General features: G+C 38.9%; 2 annotated features.

Moving 5' to 3' along the window:
• Nucleotides 20,014–20,628: an enhancer, noted in NCBI's record as "OCT4-NANOG hESC enhancer chr21:16614729-16615343 (GRCh37/hg19 assembly coordinates)". NCBI's record gives its function as "activates a minimal SCP1, AML or CMV promoter by ChIP-STARR-seq in naive and primed H9 embryonic stem cells {active_cell/tissue: H9 hESC(naive and primed)}" and the evidence as "EXISTENCE:reporter gene assay evidence [ECO:0000049][PMID:30033119]".
• Nucleotides 20,629–21,244: an enhancer, noted in NCBI's record as "OCT4-NANOG hESC enhancer chr21:16614113-16614728 (GRCh37/hg19 assembly coordinates)". NCBI's record gives its function as "activates a minimal SCP1, AML or CMV promoter by ChIP-STARR-seq in naive and primed H9 embryonic stem cells {active_cell/tissue: H9 hESC(naive and primed)}" and the evidence as "EXISTENCE:reporter gene assay evidence [ECO:0000049][PMID:30033119]".

Genomic DNA, 22,732 nt, shown 5'->3' with positions numbered 1-22,732 from the left:
TCATGAAAATGGCCATACTGCCCAAGGTAATTTATAGATTCAATGCCATCCCCATCAAGCTACCAATGACTTTCTTCACAGAATTGGAAAAAACTACTTTAAAGTTCATATGGAACCAAAAAAAAGCCTGCATCACCAAGTCAATCCTAAGCCAAAAGAACAAAGCTGGAGGCATCACGCTACCTGACTTCAAACTATACTACAAGGCTACAGTAACCAAAACAGCATGGTACTGGTACCAAAACAGAGATATAGATCAATGGAACAGAACAGAGCCCTCAGAAATAACGCCACATATCTACAACTATCTGATCTTTGACAAACCTGAGAAAAACAGGAAATGGGGAAAGGATTCCCTATTTAATAAATGGTGCTGGGAAAACTGGCTAGTCATATGTAGAAAGCTGAAACTGGATCCCTTCCTTACACCTTATACAAAAATCAATTCAAGATGGATTAAAGACTTAAACGTTAGACCTAAAACCAGAAAAACCCTAGAAGAAAACCTAGGCATTACCATTCAGGACATAGGCATCGGTAAGCCCTTCATGTCTAAAACACCAAAAGCAATGGCAACAAAAGCCAAAATTGACAAATGAGATCTAATTAAACCAAAGAGCTTCTGCCCAGCAAAAGAAACTACCATCAGAGTGAACAGGCAACCTACAAAATGGGAGAAAATTTTCGCAACCTACTCATCTGACAAAGGGCTAATATCTAGAATCTACAGTGAACTCCAACAAATTTACAAGAAAAAAACAAACAACCCCATCAAAAAGTGGGCAAAGGACATGAACAGACACTTCTCAAAAGAAGACATTTATGCAGCCAAAAGACACATGAAAAAATGCTCACCATCACTGGCCATCAGAGAAATGCAAATCAAAACCACAATGAGATACCATCTCACACCAGTTAGAATGGCAATCATTAAAAAGTCAGGAAACAACAGGTGCTGGAGAGGATGTGGAGAAATAGGAACACTTTTACACTGCTGGTCGGACTGTAAACTAGTTCAACCATTGTGGAAGTCAGTGTGGCGATTCCTCAGGGATCTAGAACTGGAAATACCATTTGACCCAGCCATCCCATTACTGGGTATATACCCAAAGGACTATAAATCATGCTGCTATAAAGACGCATGCACACGTATGTTTATTGCGGCATTATTCACAATAGCAAAGACTTGGAACCAACCCAAATGTGCAACAGTGATAGACTGGATTAAGAAAAGGTGGCACATATACACCATGGAATACTATGCAGCCATAAAAAATGATGAGTTCATGTCCTTTGTAGGGACATGGATGAAATTGGAAATCATCATTCTCAGTAAACTATCACAAGGACAAAAAACCAAACACCGCATATTCTCACTCATAGGTGGGAATTGAACAATGAGAACACATGGACACAGGAAAGGGAACATCACCCTCTGGGGTCTGTTGTGGGGTGGGGGGAGTGGGGAGGGATAGCATTAGGAGATATACGTAATGCTAAATGACGAGTTAATGCATACAGCACACCAGCATGGCACATGTATACATATGTAACTAACCTGCACATTGTGCACATGTACCCTAAAACTTAAAGTATAATAGTAATAAAATAAAATAAAGAAGAAGTGTAATTTGTAAATTTCAAGCCTCTGAGGGTATTGTGTTGGTGTTGAATAGAGTGAGAAGATATTCTGTGAAGAGGATAAGGAGTGGAAGAGGAAGAGTGTGGAATATGGAGGAGATGAAGGAAGACCCCCAGCAAATAGAATGAGCGCACCAATTTTCATGAGAATGAGAGATAAGGCACAAGACAAGATTCAGAAGAGAAGGTAGATAGGTAAACTTTGCCCAGGTTGAAAGTTTACTAAGGGCTTTCTTGGTAGAGTATGGATTCAGTTGCAAAATAAGTGAAACACTAATTTGGATTATCCTGTGCCTATATAGTCCTGCTCTTTTTCTGCTGGAGAGAAGAAGGGGAAGTAGCAGGAATCAAAAATCCCAGTCTAAGTTAATCCCTAAATCTGCAGCAGGGAGTACAAACCTTAGCCAATTGTAAGTGCTTTGATATTTCACTACTGACTGACCGAATCAGGACCAATGCCAGTTTTACCTTTCTCCTTTTTCGAATTTAATGCCAGAGCATAGTATATAATGAGAGAGATGGTCTACATCGGGGGTCATCAAACTATGAGTTTTGGGCCAAATCCAGCCTGAACTCTATCTATTTTTGTAAATAAAGTTTTATTGAAACACTGCTATGCTCATTTGTTTATATATCGCTGTGGCTGCTTTCACAGTACAAATGGCATAGATCAGTAGTGGGGAATGAGACCATCTGGCCCTCAGAGCAAAAATATTTACTATCTGGCTCTTTACCAAAAGAGTTTGCTGAATCTTGGTCTATATTAAAGGATTAAAAGTTTTCTTTGAGGTTAAAATAATTTGAGAATTAGAAGAATTTGGGAATGCTTCAGGTTAGGGCTTAGAACAAGAAGAGGACTCTAGTTCTCACTAAGAGGTCTAGAAAAGGATAACCAAGAAGAACTTGGGTGGGGAGGTGGAAGCACAGATATTGAGATGAGTGTTGTCAAAGCAAACTGCTTCTAGATTGTACCTAGTAACTGCTGTGGTTGCTTTGTTCTCTACAAACTGCATATCACCTCTCTCTTTCAGGATTAAGAGAAAAACACCACTAAAGTACAAAAAGGAAACATCCCTAGCTAATATCTGTGTGTTGGGTGGAGGCAACTGCTCTCTGATGAAACTAACCTGTTCTAAGAGAACAGTAGATTTGACCTGAGCCCACAGCCCATCTTATACTGTAGTACATAGACCTAATTCTCAACTAGTTTGATAGGAAGGGGGGGAAATAAAATGAAGTTTTCAGTTACCCAAAAGCAGACTGTGAGTGACAGATCTAGAAAGAATTCTTAGCAGCTTCCTACTCTGCCCTGTCCTCTTTTCCTCTTCATCCCAGATGTCAGAAATACTAAGTATGGCTATGCTTCAAAGTCATGCTAATTTCAGCCATTTATGTGCACTGCTTGTCTGCTATGCCATTATTATCATGTAGCACAATTACAATTATGAATACCATTAAAGATGTATCCATTAACTTGCCAATGATTTTATTTTCCACTTTCTGTGGAATAGCTCAGGCAATATGCAGAGTAGTAAATGCATCGCTCTTAAAGGCAAAGACCTCTATTAAAGAAGTCTCAGTTCTTTCATTTAATCATGTGTCATCTTCATAAGTTAATTAACTTATTTTAATTGTAGTTTCCTTATCTGTAAAATGAGGATAATAATAACTTACTAAATTCACAGGGTTGCTGTGGGTATTAGAAAAGATGATATAAGAGATGACAAATATGAGGTTATTGATATTTTGCTCTTGGAGCATGGTGGGCCATTTCTTCTAAAACAAAGAAAAGAAAAGGATATTTCTTATGAATGAGTAGAAAATAGTTGTAAATGTTATCCTGCCTTCTTTTGCCCCCACTATTCACTCACGTTCTATTGAAACTACCTCCAAAGCAGCGAGGATAATGGTGGGGAAAGACTCCAATCCCTCTCTATCCAAATCCAGTTGCCACTGCCAAAAATATGGACTTAGGTTCTGTAAGTGTTGAATGTGTGAACGATGATATTTTCCAAATGATTGTCAGCCAATTCTTAGATGACTAATTGATGTCAACAGGTATATGCTAATCTAAAATAAGGGAAACAGCTTTAGAGCATAGAGTAACAGTTGACTTTGAAATGAGAATATCCTAAAAATAAGCCTTCTTGAAAAGTCTTACGGATGCATTTTATTTATACTGGCAGCGATTTTTAGGATCCAGGTGCTGTTGCCTTTGTTGTTGTTTTAAGAGGGGCTCTACAATGAGGGTGAATATTTTTACAAAATAGAACTTATCTATATAAATTCTAATAACAAAAACCCAAGTCATTCTATTTCATGTATTATTTAACTTTCAGTTTTTGAGAAGGGAATTTCAAAACTTGGTATCTTAGGGGTAATACAAATTTCAAATTTAATCTTGTAAAGACATTTCTGTATATTTCTGAAATAATCAACCCTATTAACATCCACTTAAAGCTCAATTATTCAAGAATGTTATAGATGACTAAGGGTCTTTGGGGAAAAATCAACAAGACTTTAAGTGCTTATTAGCTAAAGCTAAATGATAGTGAAACACCTAGAAAAGCACATGTGTTATCTATCCATGTGAATACTAAATTCATTCCCCATACTAACCCAGCTATGATAAAACACTAGCAAAACATTTCCTATGGCATAAAAAAAGAGACTGAAGATTGAAAACATAAATACTGTTAGCTATCCTATTTGTCAAAGAAAGAAATATCTACAAATATTTACTGAATGTTAACAAAGTATCAAAGGATCATTTAAAATGTTTAAATTATTGAGAAGTGATCATTCTAACAGAATGTGCGCCTATCATATTGCATAAATCATTAATAGTCGTGCTCTTAATAAGCAACTGGACAATTTTAAAGCAAAGAATAAAAGATAAATACCAATTAATCATCAAAATATATATTTAGCACCTATCAATTTCAAGAAATGGTTTTGATGCTCTAAGAGGATTTAGCAAAACAAGTCAGGCTATTTCCCCACTTTGAAAATTCAACCAATTCAGTCTGGGGGGGGAATATAAATATACATACACATATACATATATACATGTATATACATGCACATTTATCTTACAGTATAAAGTTGTGAAAATAGCATCTGACATTTATTGGGTCCTCATTATAGAGCAGGCACTGAACCAAGTACTTTACAGGGATCACCTTATTTAATCTTTACAGAAATCTATGAAGGAAAATCTATTATTATTTTAACTTTACAGATAAAAAAACATTTTATGGATTATAGAAGTCAAATATATAGCTCATAGTCACCTGGCTGGGAACCACAGAGCCAGGATTCAAGTCCAGCCCTGTCAATACCATGCTTTCGGTGTTCTATAAATTCAATGGAGTGGTTCAAACTGTAGGCTTCAGAAGCCAAGTGCCTTGTTGTGAATTGTGGCTTTCCCCATTCCTTGCTAGGTGACCTGGGGCAAATGTTTTACCCCCCAGTAATAGTCACAGGTTTCAGAGAGTTAGAGGTGAGTTTGGAGAAACGAGGCATGGCACGGAAGTGGTGACAGGAGGAACGTAAGTATGCCTGAGGGATACTGGCTGCTGTAAGACAAGATGCTGCATAGCCGTGGAAACTAAACTTGGAATCAGAGAGAAAGCAGATTGTGGTGAGTCTTAAACACAAAAGCAAAGAGTTCTCATCTCATTCTGTAAACAATTGGGAGGCATTAGAATTTGACCATAACAGCTCTAATTCATATGTTCTATATATTTTTTTAATTATTTAGGCCTGAAAATCTACTACCCTCAAACTTTCTAGGTCTGTCTTAACAGATTTAAGTACTTTAACACAATACAAGATACTGATGGTCTTACTATTAATTCCACAAAGTATTAATAATAACTTGGAGGATAATTCAGAATGGATGTTAAAATATCTAGTGAATAAAGTAGTTATTTCAGAAACAATAAAGCATGCACAAGCTTTCTTCACATTTCCTGCTTCCCTCAACCATCAGCAAATGAGATGGAAGGAAAATATCAAAAGATATAAATTGTCAGTATACTCTTACTGAATTGCTTGCTATTCTAAACTACTTGTTTTTAAGCTAGCTAATTTGATTAATTGTCAGTAGACATGTGAAGACAATCTTTGGCAGGCAGCTCAGTATCCTCAGAAATATATTTTCCATGTTATCCTATATATAGCAGTTAGGCAAATACATTTTTACCTCTCTCATGAGACCAGCCTTTGAAAAGTAACTCAATGTATGTAGGCTGTGAGAAAATAAACTCTCTATATTCTCATGGTTTCCACATCACTCAACCTTCAGTGGTCTTTTTTTTTAAGCTATTACAAAATGCTTGTTGTCTCTCTAAATATTGTATGGGATTAATATAATAATAATAATAACATAATATCTCATATAATCTAATATAAGGGATTAAAACTCTTGAACTCCACCTAAGATTTGAAGAAAACATGAATACTACTATAACGTGATCTTTTAAATGTGCAAAGTATTAGACACCATTTGCTAAAGTCATTTCTGAAAAATAATCTTGTCTCACTCTCCATCTAAGTGGCTCAGGAGGTTTTGATTGTTTTTGTTTTGTTTTCTACCGCTTCAGTAAAGCTTAATTATAACTGCAAATCCTCAAAACAGTGAGTTGTGGCAGGTATTACACCTATTACAGATTGACAACGCAATACCCGAAGATGTGTTATGATTTCCACTCTTAGGCAGCGTTAGAATGGCAAGAATCTTGCCTTTCCTTCTTTATGCTCTATCATCTTTCTTCTAAAGTCCCACTACAAAGTTTTAGGGGGAAACTGTCCTAACAATGAATTAACATGCAGTGTCCCACATTTATATTTGGTTTTATAGGGGAGGAAAGTTTCCATAATGAAACCCGCCCTTGGTAGAGATTTTGTGTAAACAAAGCGTTTAACATGTTCATGTACATTTTAGAATCTCCAAGGTGAGGTAATAGTGGAAGCATTTTGTAACTCATTTTATCACAGGATTTTCTTTCATAGGCTACCTGAGAGGACTAGTGTTCCAAGGAATGCACTTTGGAAACTGCTGAGGTGGAGCCCTAGAGGACACATCCATTTTCTCTCATGGATATATAGTAGGCTGACCTGAAGAACACTTGGTTTCCTGAATGGATTATTTTTTGTTAATGTGACCTGTGTAAACCCAAGGAATGATCCCTATCACAGAATGGGATCTTCGGCTTCCAGCTCCTGATTTTTGACACAAAGCCCCAGGCCTGCAGGTCACCTCAGGCCTTTCTCTGACCTGCCTCCTTGCTTGACTGTGTTCTGAAGGAATTCAGGAGCAGAACTGCTGCCATCTGCAGAGACTTTGAATCCAGGCTTGAAGAAGGGACACTGCAGTTGATTCAGAAGAAGGTTTTTCCAGGCATTATCCCAGAATCTGTCTCCCTGGAGATTGAGGGCCTCCCAGCTGAGCAAAGGCTGCAGCAGCACTCCCCTGCTGGATCTTCTGGCAGCCATTTTACTTGGGATTCAGTCCCAGAAAAATAGAAAGGGAGGAGATGTCTTACAAACTGCTTTTTTTTTTTTTTTTTTTTGAGATAGAGTCTCACACTGTCACCTGGGCTGGAGTGCAGTGGCAGGATCTTGGCTCACTGCAACCTCTGCCTCCCAGGTTCAAGCAATTCTCCTGCCTCAGCCTCCTAAGCAGCTGGGATTACAGGTGCATGCCACCACATCTGGCTAATTTTTCGTATTTTTAGTAGAGATTGGGTTTCCCTATGTTGGCCAGGCTGGTCTCGAACTCTTGACCTTGTGATCCGCCCTCCTCGGCCTCCCAAAGTGCTGGGATTACAGGCGAAAGCCACCGCGCCCAGCCACAAACTGTTTCTTTAAAGGGAAGAAAAATCTTGACATCTTAGGTACTTATGAATGAAAAAGGCAATGAGTCATAAAATCTTCTATGTTGCTGCATTTTGCTAGCCGGGTTGCTTTACCAATTTGGCTTTCATTTCCTGAATATTAAAATGAACAAGTATATATATATACTGTTGATTTGCTTCATCTCATGCTGTGAGGATTTAATGAGGTAATAATATCTGTTACAATTTAAATTTATCCTACAATTTTTTGCCTTCAAGCAAGTCACTTAACTTCTCTAGGCCCATCTGAAAAACATGGTAATAGTGTTTTCCCTGAGCTACTTCTTAAATTGGTAGTGAGGAGTTATGAAGATGAATGTTCTTTAAAAACTAAATATAATTGTATGCCTTTCAAGATTTTTTAAAAATCAAAAATTTTTTTAAAGCCAAAGAAACCCCTTCTTTATAGTGTTTATGGGAATAATTTAAGCCATGTTAGCTAATCTTTCATAGAGGTTAGTTCTGTGTCACTTTCAAATGGGAAATAAAGTTTGTAAGGTTAATTTTAATGGACATTTTTGGGTACAATGTGAGCCTTCATCAACTGTTTAAATGAAATAAAAGTGTAAATATGAAAATATAATTGTTGTTTCTTTAAGCTCTCATTTCTTGAGAGCTCTCATCTTTTATTCCCATCAGTTGAACTTATTTTGTTGATATTCATTAGTGAATAAAATTTTGTTGATTTTCGATTCATTACAATACACTTTTTGGTCATGTTTACACAATGTTGGTCATTTATTTATTTACTATACTAAATACTGCACCCTCCGAATTGCCAATTTTTACATGGTATTTCTGGCAGTGGTGGGTGCTCCTCTCTCTGAATACATAAAATGTCCATTCATTTCATGGTTTTCATATTCCTTTGCTATTCTACCTACTGCTTTAAAATACATTCAAATAAAATGATGTAAGTTACTTGCAGTGAGTGCACACATACAACAGCGAGGAGAGCTGAGAACATAATTCACCAATACTCTTGTGTTCAGAGAATAGAGTCTAAAATCACTGGACTGAAGCTTGTCCCTTAGGGACTTTCTCCAAGTATCCTTGGTGGACATAAAGTTTCTTGATTCTTTGCATTTTCTGTTGATTGAAAGCATTTATCTAAAGCTCTTGTGACATGATGGTATTCAGGGTTGTCATATCTTTATACCTGAGTCACTGTATGCCACAGGTTGTGGAACCCAGCGAAAACACACATCTCTCAGTCATGCCTGAAAATATTCCTGGCTATGCCTGTCTAATGCCGCTTCCTGGTTCCTCCATTCCTGCTCGTAGCTGGTTCCTTCTGCTCCTTGGTGCTGCTCTGTGTTCTGACACTCTGGTGGAGCTGCACCTCAGGCCTCAGACTTGACCGGTGCAGGCCCTCCTTTCCTCTGTTTTCCCTGAGCTGTGGCTTGAACTCCACTGTGACTCTGCTAAGGGTTTGACCTTGACACAATTCCAAAATGAGCCAACAGAATTAGATACACCAAACAGACTTGGTGTGGAGGATGGTGGTAGGTGCGGGAAGGGTGACCTCACGGGTCATGGGCATCAGGTAAAGAGAGGTGTATGGCAGCTGTAGCACATTGCCACAAACTTACTGGTTTATGGTACATATGCTTATTATATGACAGTTCTGGAGATAAGAAGTCTGAAATGGGTCTTATGGGGCTAAAGTCAAGGTGTTGGCAGAATTGTATCCTCTTTGGAGGTTCTAAGGGAGTTTTTCCAGCCTCTAGAGGCTGCCCACATTCCTTGAGTCCTGGCTGCATCACAACCCTGCTTCTGTCATCACATTTCCTCTTCTGACTCTCCTACCTCCTCTTTCACTTACAAGAACTCCTGTGATTACATTGGGCTCACCCAGAGAATCCAGGATCATCTCCCCATCTGAAGATCCTCAACTTCAAATCTCTGCAAAGTCCCCTTTGCCATGTGAAAGAACACATTTGCAGGTTCTAGAACATCACTGGGCAGTGTGGAGCATCATTTGGCCAACACAAAAGGCAAAGAACTAAAAGTGGAGAAAGACAAGTCAGGACCCCAGAACCCAACTGTGATGGTTAATATTAAGTGTCAACTTGATTGGATTGAAGGATGCAAAGTATTGTTCCTGGATGTGTCTGTGAGGGTGTTGCCAAAGGAGATTAACATTTGAGTCAGTGGACTGGGAAAAGCAGACCCACCGTCAATCTGGGTGGGGACAATCTATTTAACTGCCAGAGTGGCTGAAATAAAAGTGGGCAGAAGAACATGAAAAGATGAAACTGACTTAGCTTCCCACCCTACATCTTTCTCCAGTGCCGGACGCTTCCTGCCCTAGAACATTGGACTCCAAGTTCCTCAGGTTTGGGACTCGGACTGGCTTCCTTTCTCCTCAGCTTGCAGATGGCCTATTGTGGGACTTTGTGGTCATGTGAGTCAGTACTCCTTAATAAACTCCCTTTTATTTATAAATCCACCCTTTGGATGTCCCTCTAGAGAACCCTAACTAGTACACCAACCAACCCCACAGAGACAGCAGCACTGACACCATTTCAATGAGTTTCTCCTCCTAGAGGCCTCGCTGCTCCTCTCCCAACCCTGCCTGCTCTTTTTTCCACTGAACGGAAACTCTTCTGAAGTTCATCACAAAGATAATGAGCTAATCTCAGTTAATGTACTCTTCAGACAGGGCTATGTGATCACCATGATCACCGAGGCTTTCTATAGAAGAGGATGTCCCACTTTTATTGACCTCGTCAGTTAGTGAGTTAACTATTGAGAATTTGTGGCCAGATAGAAAGGGAGGGAGACCCCACTGGGAAGATGTTTTACTCATCCTCTCAAGTCACTCTCTGCAAGGAGTTGCCTTAACCCACTTCCCCTTCTGCAGGGATGGCTCTTGAGACAGAATTGTTTTTCCTGCTGAGCAGAAAGATACTCCCAGGCCTTTTCTGGTTACAGTTTCCTCTTATGTTCATGAAGAAAACTGTTCATCTTGGTGTCATCTAATGATTTAAGGGTCACCAAAAACGGTAGCCACATTGCTTGAATCAGAATATGGAAAATGAGGCTGTTCCCAGCAACTTTTCACACGCATGAAATGACCCAGCTGTGGAGAGGGACTTACTCTTCCCTAGCAGCCAGCTTCTCTCACATGGCCTCTGGCCACGCTGCTCCCTCTGCATGCAATGCCATTTCACCTGGCTGACATTTTCCCATTTTTGCTTTTGTTTTTGTTTAAGATTCATAGGCATCGCTGTCTCTGAGAAATCTTCCTTAACTGCCCTGTTCTGAGTGCTTGAATTGGATCTCTGATTCTTATTTCTATCCTGGCATTCATCACATTGCTATTTATGTGGAAGCCTTTCACTAGACTGTGAAGTCCCAAGGCGAATCGTGTGCTTCAGTCATTGTGGGATCCTCAGCGGCACTCAATCACGGTTGCGTGAACAGAAAAAGGAGCTCTCCTAGCACTGGCAAGCCACAGCGGTAGAAGATCACGGACATGGGGCAATATACACGATAGCACTGAGAACCTGGGAAGAAAACCCAGGAGAGGAAGGAGAATTCCAACAGTGACAGGAGAAGGGACACAGACCTGGGAGATGACATCATCCATTTATATGTGCCTTGAAATATTTTAATGAGACACTACTCCTTGCCATGTTCTCTGACCTGCACCAAATGCCTGACACACACAGGAGTACTTCATATGTGTTTACTGATTGACTAATTGCCTAGTTCTGGCTCAATATGTCTCAAGAGCCAAGTCAGGGTTATGTAAAATACATCTAAATGTATTTTATGATGATCCTTTTAAAGCATCATCACATAATCAGAACCTTTTAAAGCATCATGACATGTAGAGAAAGGCTCCACATGTACAGTGAGGGGACTCCAGTAGTAGCTGGTGTGCATCAATAATAAAAGTACAAACAAGATGAAACCTTCCTTCAAGCTTGTCATTGTTAACAGAGGAAACAGAAAAATGTATATACAGTAAAAATGATACAACAATATATATTAAGAGTTGGTCTGCCCTTAAGGATAGTGGAGAACATGCCCAATTGTCTTCCTGGGGTCTAGGTCTGACCACAACAAAACTGGATCACAGGAAGAAGAGATAACATGGTTTCCATCCTCACATCCATTAACATCTCCCTCATTGGGTAGCTTAAGAGGATGTTTCAATGTAATCATCCCCCTTATCAGAGGGTAGCCTAATCAGAGCAAGGCTTAGAAATTTTGTGCAATGGACATCACAAGCTGTTACGTTTTTGTAGATATCTCTCCTGCAACTACAGGGAAGCCTGCCTAGGGTGAAGCTAATATGCAAAAGAAGCAGAGCCAAAAAATCACAAAGAAATAGAACAAGAACTTTATTTGAACTACACCTGAAGCCTTCCTATCTCAGTACTTCTCAGTCCTGTCAACCAACATAGGCTACTTATCTTTTATCCAGCTTGAGTTGAGTTTCCGCTGCTTGCTACAAAACATATTTTGATAGGTACTAGAGAAGGATCTATGTCTCCTTCTCATGTGTCCTCTAATTGGCCTCTTGCACAGGAGTGTGTAGGGAATCTTTTGGGGGCACTATACCGTGGAAAGTATTAAGATTACAAATGTTCATAAGAAATAAAATATATGGAAAAAATAGCAATATTGGCATAGAACACCAGACATGAATGCTACTACAATGCAAGAAGGATTATAAAAACAAAATTCAGGTAAAATCTATGAATCATTCTTCTATAAGAATAGTCTAAGGGTTGAGTGTGACCCTGTCTGGTTGTAGATAAAGAACTCAAAGTGCAGTCATATACTTAGTGGGGGGAACAGGAGTATTTAAGAACCAGTGAAGGCTGAATTGTTCCTCTGATCACTCAGTCAGTGATCATTACTGACAGAGTAAATGTGGAATTTTTACTAAAGAATTACTTTTCATTGAAAGCAAATATGATTCACCAGCATAAATACAGAAAAAGAAACAACAGGTGGTGACTACGACTTAAGACATTAAATTTCCATGAGTCAGTGAAGCCAGATGGCATGGATCTGAAAATTCCAAAAAAATTTCAGATCAAAGCATTTTAGATACTAACAATATCGGCAATTTATCATGTAAAACAACTATCAGAGTTAGGGAGTTTGCCAAATATATTCTATGGCACTATTTGGAGAAGCACAAATTGTTCAGGGAGTTCAATTAATTCAATGAAACCTAACAAATTTATTAAACACCAAGTGCAAACCACTGTTCTAGGCACTGGGTACCGGAAGGTGTTTAAGACAAGGTCATGTCCTCCATAATCGATACTTAATTTTCTTATAAAATTTTTTCATTTGAAGGTGAATTAGTTAAGGATCAGCTGCAGATCACGGAAACCATTCTGGCTAGGTTAACAAGGGTAGATCTGGGGGCTTTAAGATTTGTGGAAGCTCTGGGGGCATAAGCCCTAAGCAGAGTGCCCAGGAACAACTTCCAAAACAACAGTCTAGAGTGAGCCTCCGTGGAAGACACTGCTTTTACCACGATAAGGGGGCTGGAGAAGCAAGAGGCTGCTAGCTCCCCAACCACTATGCCAGTTTGTCCACAACCTCTGCCAGCAAAATGAATGCTTCCCACACTGCCTTTCCACACTATAAAGCTAAACACTGGACATTGGAAACTCTACTACAGCTACTGCAGAAGAAACAAACACCCCTAAAGACAAGCTTGCCAGGGGAAACAGCTGAAACAACAGAAGCATGGAATTGGCCACAGGATGTGCACTTCCATCTTCCAAATCTCAGAGAGGCATACATTTGACAAGCAGCTGCAAATGAACCTGGGAAATGCAGATTTTAGCAGTACTGCATCATAGTGCGGTATCGTACATCCAGGCACGCTGAAAGGGAGTGGAGTGGAGGCTGAGGGAAAATCCATAGTCTCTGTCACCAAAGACTAGATTATATTCCTTCCTATTCACAATCTAGTACTTCTCTACCCACCCCAAAGCAGCTCCACTCCTTGCCTCTCTTCCTTATTATCTTCACCATCCACCCAACTGACTACATGGAAGCCTTTGAGTCAGCATCCGCCTTTCCCTGAATTCTATCTCAGATACCACTGCCTTTGTTTAGAGTCTGTTCGCCTTTTAAATAGATTATTACTAAGTTTCTTTACTAGTAATCTAGCAAATTCTTTTCTTTTTTTTTTTTAATAATTTTAAACTGAAACTATTCTAGCTAGGTTAACAAGAGTAGATTTGAGGGCTTCCATGTGCCCTGACTTCCAGAATTGTCTTTCTAAAATCAAAATCTCATCTTGTCACTGCTTTGTATTAATACAAAACCCTCCCCAAGGCTCCCAATTTCCTGCAAAATACCATCTAAGCTTCCTGCCAGGGCAATCAGAATCCTTCCCTATTGGAAATCAGCCTACCTTAACCTCCCCTCCTTCCAGCACCACATCCCTTTTACCTCTGGGGAGTAACTCTGAACTTCTCATTATTCCTCAGATACAACATACCCATCTATAACTGCTTCCCTACGTATGCCTTGGTTTCCATCCTAGATTGTACTTTATCACAGCGAATGAACCTTTTTCATTCTTCACAACCCAGAGTAAATGTTAGTTTCCCAAAGAGAGTTCATATTTCTTTTCCCTTCATGCTGTAACATATTTCTCAGACCACTATTGGGGTGTGTTTCACAGTATATACATTTTTTTCATGCCATGCATCCTCCACTGAGAGTGCCTTTAAGGCACACAGAGTCTCATCCAGAGCCACATACCCTTCCCTCCTAAATCAACCACAGAGGTTGGTGCATTAGAACATTTCAATGAGCATTTGTTGGATGGCCAAATGAAGAACATAAAAAAGCATTCATAAAGAACATTTTAGGCTGGATGCATTAGCTCATGCCTGTAATCCCAGCACTTTGGGAGGCTGAGGTGGGAGGATCACTGAGCCCAGAAGTTTGAGACCAGCGTAGGCACTATAGAAAGACCCTGTCTCTACAAACTTTTTTATTAAAAAGTTAGCAGGGCATGATGATATAAACCTGCAGTCCTAGAGATTGAGGTGGGAGGATCGCTTGAGCTCAAGAGTTCAAGCTATGATCACACCATTGCATTCCAGCCTGGGCAACAGAGTGACATCCTGTCTGGGTGGGGGATGGGGAGGGGGACATTTTAAAATAAAAGAGAACTCAAAGACTTAAAAATATAAGAACCTGGCCAGACGCGGTGGCTTACACCTGTAATCCCAGCACTTTGGGAGGCGAAGGAGGGGCGGATCACAAGGTCAGGAGGTAGAGAACATCCTGGCTAAACATGGTGAAACCTCGTCTTTATTAAAAATACAAAAAATTAGCTGGGCTTGGTGGCTGGCACCTGTAGTCCCAGCTACTTGGGAGGCTGAGGAAGGAGAATGGCGTGAACCCGGAAGGCGGAGCTTGCAGTGAGCAGAGATTGCGTCACTGCACTCCAGCCTGGGCGACAGGGCAAGACACCATTTCAAAAAAAAAAAAAAAAAAAAATATATATATATATATATATATATATATATATATGAACCTATTTGGTAAAATAATATTCTTCTTCTCTTACCTAACTCCAAGAGAAAAAAGATGTTAGGGGAACAGGTATAGCATTCTTTTTAAGAGCTGTTCAGTCTCTAAAAAATGTAAACTTGGCAGCTTGACTTGAAACAGTCAAGATGAGCATACACGTGCTCATTGGCACTCTACCCAGAGTGAGCCAGCAAAATCACAGACTCCCATATAGGGTTTTTCTTAGACTATGTATATATTTCAATTATAGTAGCTGGATGGCTCTAGGGAAAGCTATTGACTATCATGTAAAACCCAACAGAAAAGAATCTGCTTGATTCCAGAGGGAACGTGCTAAGTCAAAGAACAACTAGCCTCCTTTTTGCTGTATTAATTCAAATAATTGTGAGGAAATTATTAGCTACAAATGCAACAAGGAGGGCCATAGGCTTAGATTTGGTCCCAAAAGGAAAAAAGTAGAGATGTTTGATTTATGTCATTCTTATGTTTTAGAGCATAGTTTCCCAAAATGTATGCTAGGGAATACTAGCTAGAGGGTGTGTGGTTGAAAGAGTCTGGTGAGCACACCATATTGTCTTCTCAGAACATCACAAAGATCACTGGCATAGCAAGCCTCTGAGAAATTCTATTAAATGTTGTTTTAAACAGGATTCTGAAACATGTGGCTTCTCTTGTATTCATTTAACCACTATTAACATCCAGCAGAACTAATGCTCATTACTAATGTAGGAAATGGAGAGAAACAGAAAGGTTTTTTTTTTTAACAGAAAGTTAAAGTTTGTGGTATTGTTATTGGAATGAAAGTTTAGACTGAAGTAACCCTCCAATTATAAAGAAGAATGAGGAACAAAACAAACCATAGAATGCTTAGAAGGATGATCCCTCCCTATCGTGGGTTGAATGGTGGCCCCCCAAAAGATATGTCCAGGTCCTAATCCCTGGACTCTGTGAATACAACCGTGAATGGTGAAAGTGAATACTACCTTGCATGGCAAAAGACATGAGTAAGTTAGAGAACTTAGAGGAGGAGCTTACCCTGGATTATTCAACTGGGCCCTAAATATAATCACATATCCTCACAAGACAGGCACATAGAGAAGATGATGTAAAGACAGAGGCAGAGATTAGAATACTGGGGTAGGCACCAGAAGCTGGAAGAGTCCAGAAAGGGATTCTTTCTTAGAGCCCCTGGAGGGAATGTGCCCTGTCAACATTTTGGTTTCAGACTTCAGGCCTTCAGAACTGTGAGAGAATAAATTTCTGTTGTTTTAAGCCACCAAGTCTGTGGCAATTTGTTCCAGCAGGCTACAGGAAAGTAATACACTCCAGTCAAGCAACTCTCTGACTGAGGCACTAAGCAATGTCGCCCAGCTCCACGATGTTCGCAAAGGTAAGGGATGAGCTCGCCACTTCCACCTCTGGCATCCCAATTTTGTTTAATAACCTGCTATAGTCCTTCTTGAACCTATTTATATATAATAGCCCATATAATACCTTGAGGCAATGAGTTTCATAAATTTACTACTCACTGTGAATAGCATCTTGGTGTATGGGCTTTTTTATGGCGCAGTGCATTTTCATGATGAATCCATTTGTCCCTTTTTTCAACTTTTGCTTAATGCTTCTATCATTAGCTTAAATAAATGTGGGAGACAATTGAACTCCACTAAATAGGACAAAGGTCAGAGAGGAGAGCTTGAAGCAGTTAGACCATATTCATGAGCCACATAAAAGGCAGCTCTTTCTGAAGTTGAAGGCTTTTGTGGAAAGGGCCCTGTTTTAGAGTGCTGAGATTCAAACTGGACGACATGTCGGAGGATGACCTTGCAGGCAAATATTCATCTTGGGAGCATTTCAAGAAAAGATGACCCAGAGGCAAAAATCAGAGTCATAGAAATTACACTCAGCACAGGGATCCACTTCCGTGGTATAAAAGAAAACATTTTCTTTTGGTTTTTAAGAGTAAAATGACCATATCCTTAGATTAACATTATTGCCTAAACCCTGATGAGATTGGTAGAGGAAGGGTCTTAAAGACGATACCCATAAATATGTGTGATGGCTCATTTTGACATGTGTGTTCTACCTGCCACCAAAAGCGTCCAATTTATGAAGAGAAAAAATTAATTTAATGAAAGAATTGAAATTCAGAGTCAACATGTTTAGGTGCCAAATAGGTATTATAAAGTAAGGCATATAAAACTTTGGTTACTCAGTATTAGTTAAACCTTACTTAAGAATCTTGGACATTTATCCATAAACTTTAATGTGTATGAAAATCTAGGCAGTAGGTTATAAGTGGAGGTACCTTGGTACCCCCAGTTTTTCTGATTCAGTATGTGCAGAGAAAGTATGGGTGATGAGGAGGGTGATATGTATTGAGAAAAGTTTTAAGTTGTGTGTACATGTGTGTATTAAATTCTCATAGTGTAGTGGCCAGTTCCCTCCTACCCTCCTACCCTCCTATACATGCTACAGTGTGAACTAGGGTTAAGAAGGGAAAAAAGAATACATAGAATGAGAGAGACAGAAAGAGAGAGAGAGGGAGAAATTCAAATCTCTGGTACCAATAGATAGAGTTGTTAAAAGTATTAAATACATTCATGTGTTCAACCTATCATCTTAATCATTTTAAAAACAATTATATTACAAATTCAAATGCATCTCTTTTACAAATCTTTATACTCTTGAAAGAGATTTACGGACTCAAAAAAAGGTAACGTTAACATTTAGTGAGGACTTGCTGTGTGCCAACACTGTCCCAAGTGCTTAATGCACAGTAACACATTTAATTTTCACAATGCTGTGAGGCAGATGCCATGTTTATCCTTCTTTTACAGATGAAGAAACAGAGGCCAGATTTTGATCAAGTCCCCAAGGTCACACTGCTAGTGAGCTGCAGAACAGGTATCTGAACTCAAGCAGCCTGTCCTGGAAACTTAATAGTCAACCATATCGCATTTTTTAAACATTTGCTTTCCATCACTTCATTTATTGAATTTTAAACCTTGGCATAGGATTTTGCTGTTAAAAGAATTCTACACAGCTATTTTATTTCTCTGTATTATTTTAAGCCGCATTCTAGATGGATGAACTTGGAATTAGGACATTGATTCTCTCCTTTTTGACCTGCCAAGGTTGGATCACTAAATAGCACTGTTTTGAAACTCTAGAAGAGGACAGTTGTCACATTTTCTACAATAGAGCCCTCTAGGCCAAAGACACCCTCATTCCATGTAAGGTGGTAGATGGCCAGGGTACATTCTGGAGTGCTGCAATTTCATTTTCCCAGGTTATTTTAATAATTCCCTACAAAACAGAGCCCCAAGAAATCTCTTCTCACACTTAAAACAGCATGAGCTTCAAACTGCATGGTTATAAATATCTTTAAGACCACCCATTCTTTTCATTAGCAAGAAGGATAATATCTCTATTACAGCTGCAGGAACACACCCATGTTATGCTGTCTTTCACAGAATTACTGATATAACTCCTGGATTTTCTTTTCTTTTTTTTTTTTTCTGATTTTCCCCTCACTTTTAAACTTACATCACCTTCCTGAAGTCTTTCTTTTCACACTGGCCTAGTGCAAAAAAGTGATCTCATTTTAACGATAATAAAAATACTGCCCTTCACCAACGCAAAACTGATGCATGTTGATTATGACGCACCTGTCCCCTTCTGGATCTTTCTGTTTTATCTTCTCTAGGATCATTCTCTATTTTAAAGCTACTGTTGGGCCTCTTTCTCTTTTTGCTCCTTATCAGGATTTTTAATACAGATTCCACAAGTATCACACTACTTGAAAAATAGCTATCTAACTTCTTTTGGGATGAGGACTCCACATCTTCAGGAGGCATCTAATACTTCCCAAAATGAGGGCACTGACTGCTTCTTGGTGGTACCAAGTCTCAACCAAGAAAAACAGCAGATCATCCAATGCCTCCAATAAACAGATGACTCCCTTTCTATATGGAAGAGTATCCAGGTGGGAATAAGAAGAGCTTAGATGTCCTCAAAGCCTTTATGATTTAATCAGGAGGGAAAGTAATTCAGAGGAAATATGTTACAGAGCCAACTACATGTCAGAAGATAAAGTCCTACCCCCTTAGTCTTCATACGAGCCCTTCGGGCTATAAGTCTCCAGGGCCTCTGAATCCTCCTCCAACCACTCTAAATCCGAGTCCTGCATTCTGGCCACTCTGGGTGAAGAGCCCTTACCTAACCTAACGTTTAAAGACCCTTCCTGCTCCTACACCTTTGTTTTGGTACTTCCCTGCACCTAGAAGGCCACTTCCTCTCTCCTTGTTATCTGGCAAGCTCCTTCTTCCCACTTCAAATTCAGCTGTCGCTTCCTCTCATAAGTCACCCTTATTTACCCGTGCAGTTCCACATGTTTGAACATTTATCACATTGCTCTCATGACATCCACATCCTTTCTTCCACCAGGCTGTGAGAAACCGGGGGACAGGCAGAGACTATGCTCTTATTGTCTCCATCACTTAGCTGTGGAATCCGATATCTACTAGGTGTTTAGTAAAGGTTAGTGTCTTGAGTAGCCAGAAGCACAGTAGAGTAATTATGTATGATGTTCCAAATCTGGGTTCACATCCCAGCCCTGGTAATCCCTATGTGGGTGACCTTAATAAACTTACTTAACTTCCTTAAGCTTCAGTTTCTCTTCTATAAAATAAATATAATATCTACCTCAGAAGATTGTTGCTATGATAAAAAATAATATGTGAAGGAATGCAGTAAGACTTGGAAAATGGTAGTTATTAATATTGTCCTATTGTTAAAGAACAGCTTAAAGATAATAGGGTAAAATTTCATATATTTATGTGGAGGATATAATGAATAGAAAGGGGATGAGTCAGAGGTAGGTAAACCACAGCAGAATTTCTGGAGGAAGGCAATTTTAAAATTTAAAAATTGTAATGCAAATGCAACTTATAGCAGAGGCAAAAAATATACACAGCAGAAATAATGACACCAGGAGTAGACAAATAACACTGAAGCATGTTGAAAGAGGTGTCAAAATAATGGGATGTTGAGAGAGAACGGTGGGAGATGTTGAGCAGAGTCAATAAGATGGGACATGGACCCCTGGGGAAGCTCTCAAGTCATAGAATGAGGTGACTGTTGAAGATTTTTCATGCAGTTATATGTAGGATCTTTTGAAGCAGGAAGAGATTTGAAGGCAGGGAGAATAAATAAGAAAGACTGCAGTAATCCCAGGAACTCCATGTAGATAACTGTAAGGCTGTCCCTTACAAATGCTAATGTATTCATGCTAAATGAGTCCACTTTGGAATGTGAGGAGGCGGGAGGCAGAGGAAAGTGTTTATTAACCCTTGTTGACGAAAGCCACTCACTTATTGACTCTGAAGTTGAAGCAACCTGAAAAACAGCTTTATTTGAGAATGTCCAGAATTGAGTTAATGGCCAATCCCAAAGGGGAGAAGAGTAAGCACTTTTCAAGCATGTGCTGATCAAGACTTTTGCATATCTGAGCTCCTGCACTTCAAAGAGGACTTCCTGCTGGGTTTGCTTACTGCTTTAACTAAGTCCTTGAATTTAAGGACAGGAGATATTCTTGTAAGTGGAGAATTTTGAATAGTCAGATGTTGACCAATAGAGTTGCTCTTCCTGTTGGAAAATGATGCAGCTGGAGTGTTATTAATTGATCAAACTACTCCCCCACCTGGACTCCCAAGTGACTTTTCCCTGGTAGTTGTAAATGGGCAGGTATCAGAATTCAATTGTGAAGTGCCTTATGGTTATCCTGAAAGATTGGGATGCAAAGTCAAAAGTCCCCTCACCAAGAGGTCAGGTCACTAAGGTTAGGGTGCCCAGAACTGCATAATAAGTGTCAGAATACTGCCAGTAAGACTGCAAGGCAGAGTGTGGAATTGGAAGAACCCATGGTGAGGTATAGCAAGATGATAAATAGGCTTATCTTCCAGGGTTAAAGAAACAGCACCATGGAATCTGGTGAACCCAAATTGTGTTTGGAAACACAATTTTAAATTCAGTTGTCTTAGTAAGAATTGGATATATTTCAGAGCAAGAAAAGTGTACTTTTCTTCATCTAAGTACCAACATGTTAATTGTATTGTTTGTTGCATATAGTCATGACCTAACCCACCAGTGCCATTTTCCCCATATTGTGCTTAGCAATGATTATATTTGTTAGAAATTGGATCTGAAAAGTGATGACATTAGGATCCAAGTGCCAACAATTTCCTAGCATTGTATTTCAAATATTTGCAGAGACCAAAATGAGGAATTAATTACCTTACAATATTATCTTTAAACATTCATAAAATTTATTTAAAATCAGTTTTGTCTTAAGTTTTAAGTTTCCTCTACCTTTCTTTCAGAATTATTTGGAGAAAAAATATTCTAATGTTAAACATATTTGATTTTATGTCATTTTATATATTGCAAGTTGCAGTAGCATTAGCATATCAATAGATTTCACAAAGACAGTTTAGAATCACTCATTGATGAAATAACCAAATGGAAGTTCACAATACAAAGTACTACACAAATACCACATTTTCCTTTTAAAATACACTGAGTCAAAGGGAGCTATTATTATGAAAACCTTACATTTTAGGATGGTTTTTAGCTTTTTTAATATATATTATCCCATTTGATGCCCACTAGATACACTATATAAATAATGAAGTTGTGTGAAATGTTTTTGGTATTAAATGGCACTTGGCCAAATTAAAGACAATGAACCGTATTTCCATTTTTGGCATGTGATTTCAATTAATTCTGATAAGATTATACATTTCATTCCATGTGCACTGTATAAAAAATGAATTCATATGAGCTAATGTTATTAAAGTGTTTTGTTTGGCTCCTCCTGTCTCTGGAATGTACCAGGCAGCATGCAGAATATTGCAAGTTTGCATAAACAGAATGGCAGTATAATAGTCGAGTTGTATTTCTGTTGTCTTTTCAAGATATACCACAGCAGGACTAATGCCAATATATCTCAGCTTGAGCAAGATCCAATTTTCTCCTCTAAAATAAAAAGTCACTCCCAAGATTTAGACTTTCATTTTATAAAATTATTCCCTTAAAAATACACAAGATATGCCAAGACTGTAAAAAACAAAGACAAAAGCAAAAATGTGTATCTCCAGACACAATTTTTGCCCTATTAGGAAATGATATTTCATTAATCACTGCTTCACTGTACATTCTAATGTGTATGTGACTTTAAGGGTAATATATTGAGTACTGAGAGTTGCATGAGATGATTAACTTGATATTTTCACCACAAGGAGAAAAACCTTCATTTGTAAGGACAAATTAATACCTGATCAGATAGACCTAAAGCTGATGTTTCTAATTTAACAGTCTCTTCTCCAAATGACTTGGAAGAGTCCTAAAACCTGGGCTGTTATCCTAAGAAACATGTTTAAAATACTTGCCTTTAGCCAGACTCTGAAGTTTTTTTGGAGTAAAACCAGACATTTGATATGTCCCCTTGTTTTGTCTCAAAAGCTCCTGGGGTCAGATGTCACCAGTCATAATGCTTAATTCACTTGGGATAATATGCTACCAAGACATTCATCATGATTATACTGCTTAACCCAAATTAGTCAAAAGATTTAAAATCTTATCATTTTGCTGGAAGT

The sequence above is a fragment of the Homo sapiens genome, chromosome 21 (assembly GCF_000001405.40).
Source record: "Homo sapiens chromosome 21, GRCh38.p14 Primary Assembly".
NCBI lineage: Eukaryota > Metazoa > Chordata > Mammalia > Primates > Hominidae > Homo > Homo sapiens.
This window is presented reverse-complemented; position numbering and strand designations above follow the sequence as displayed.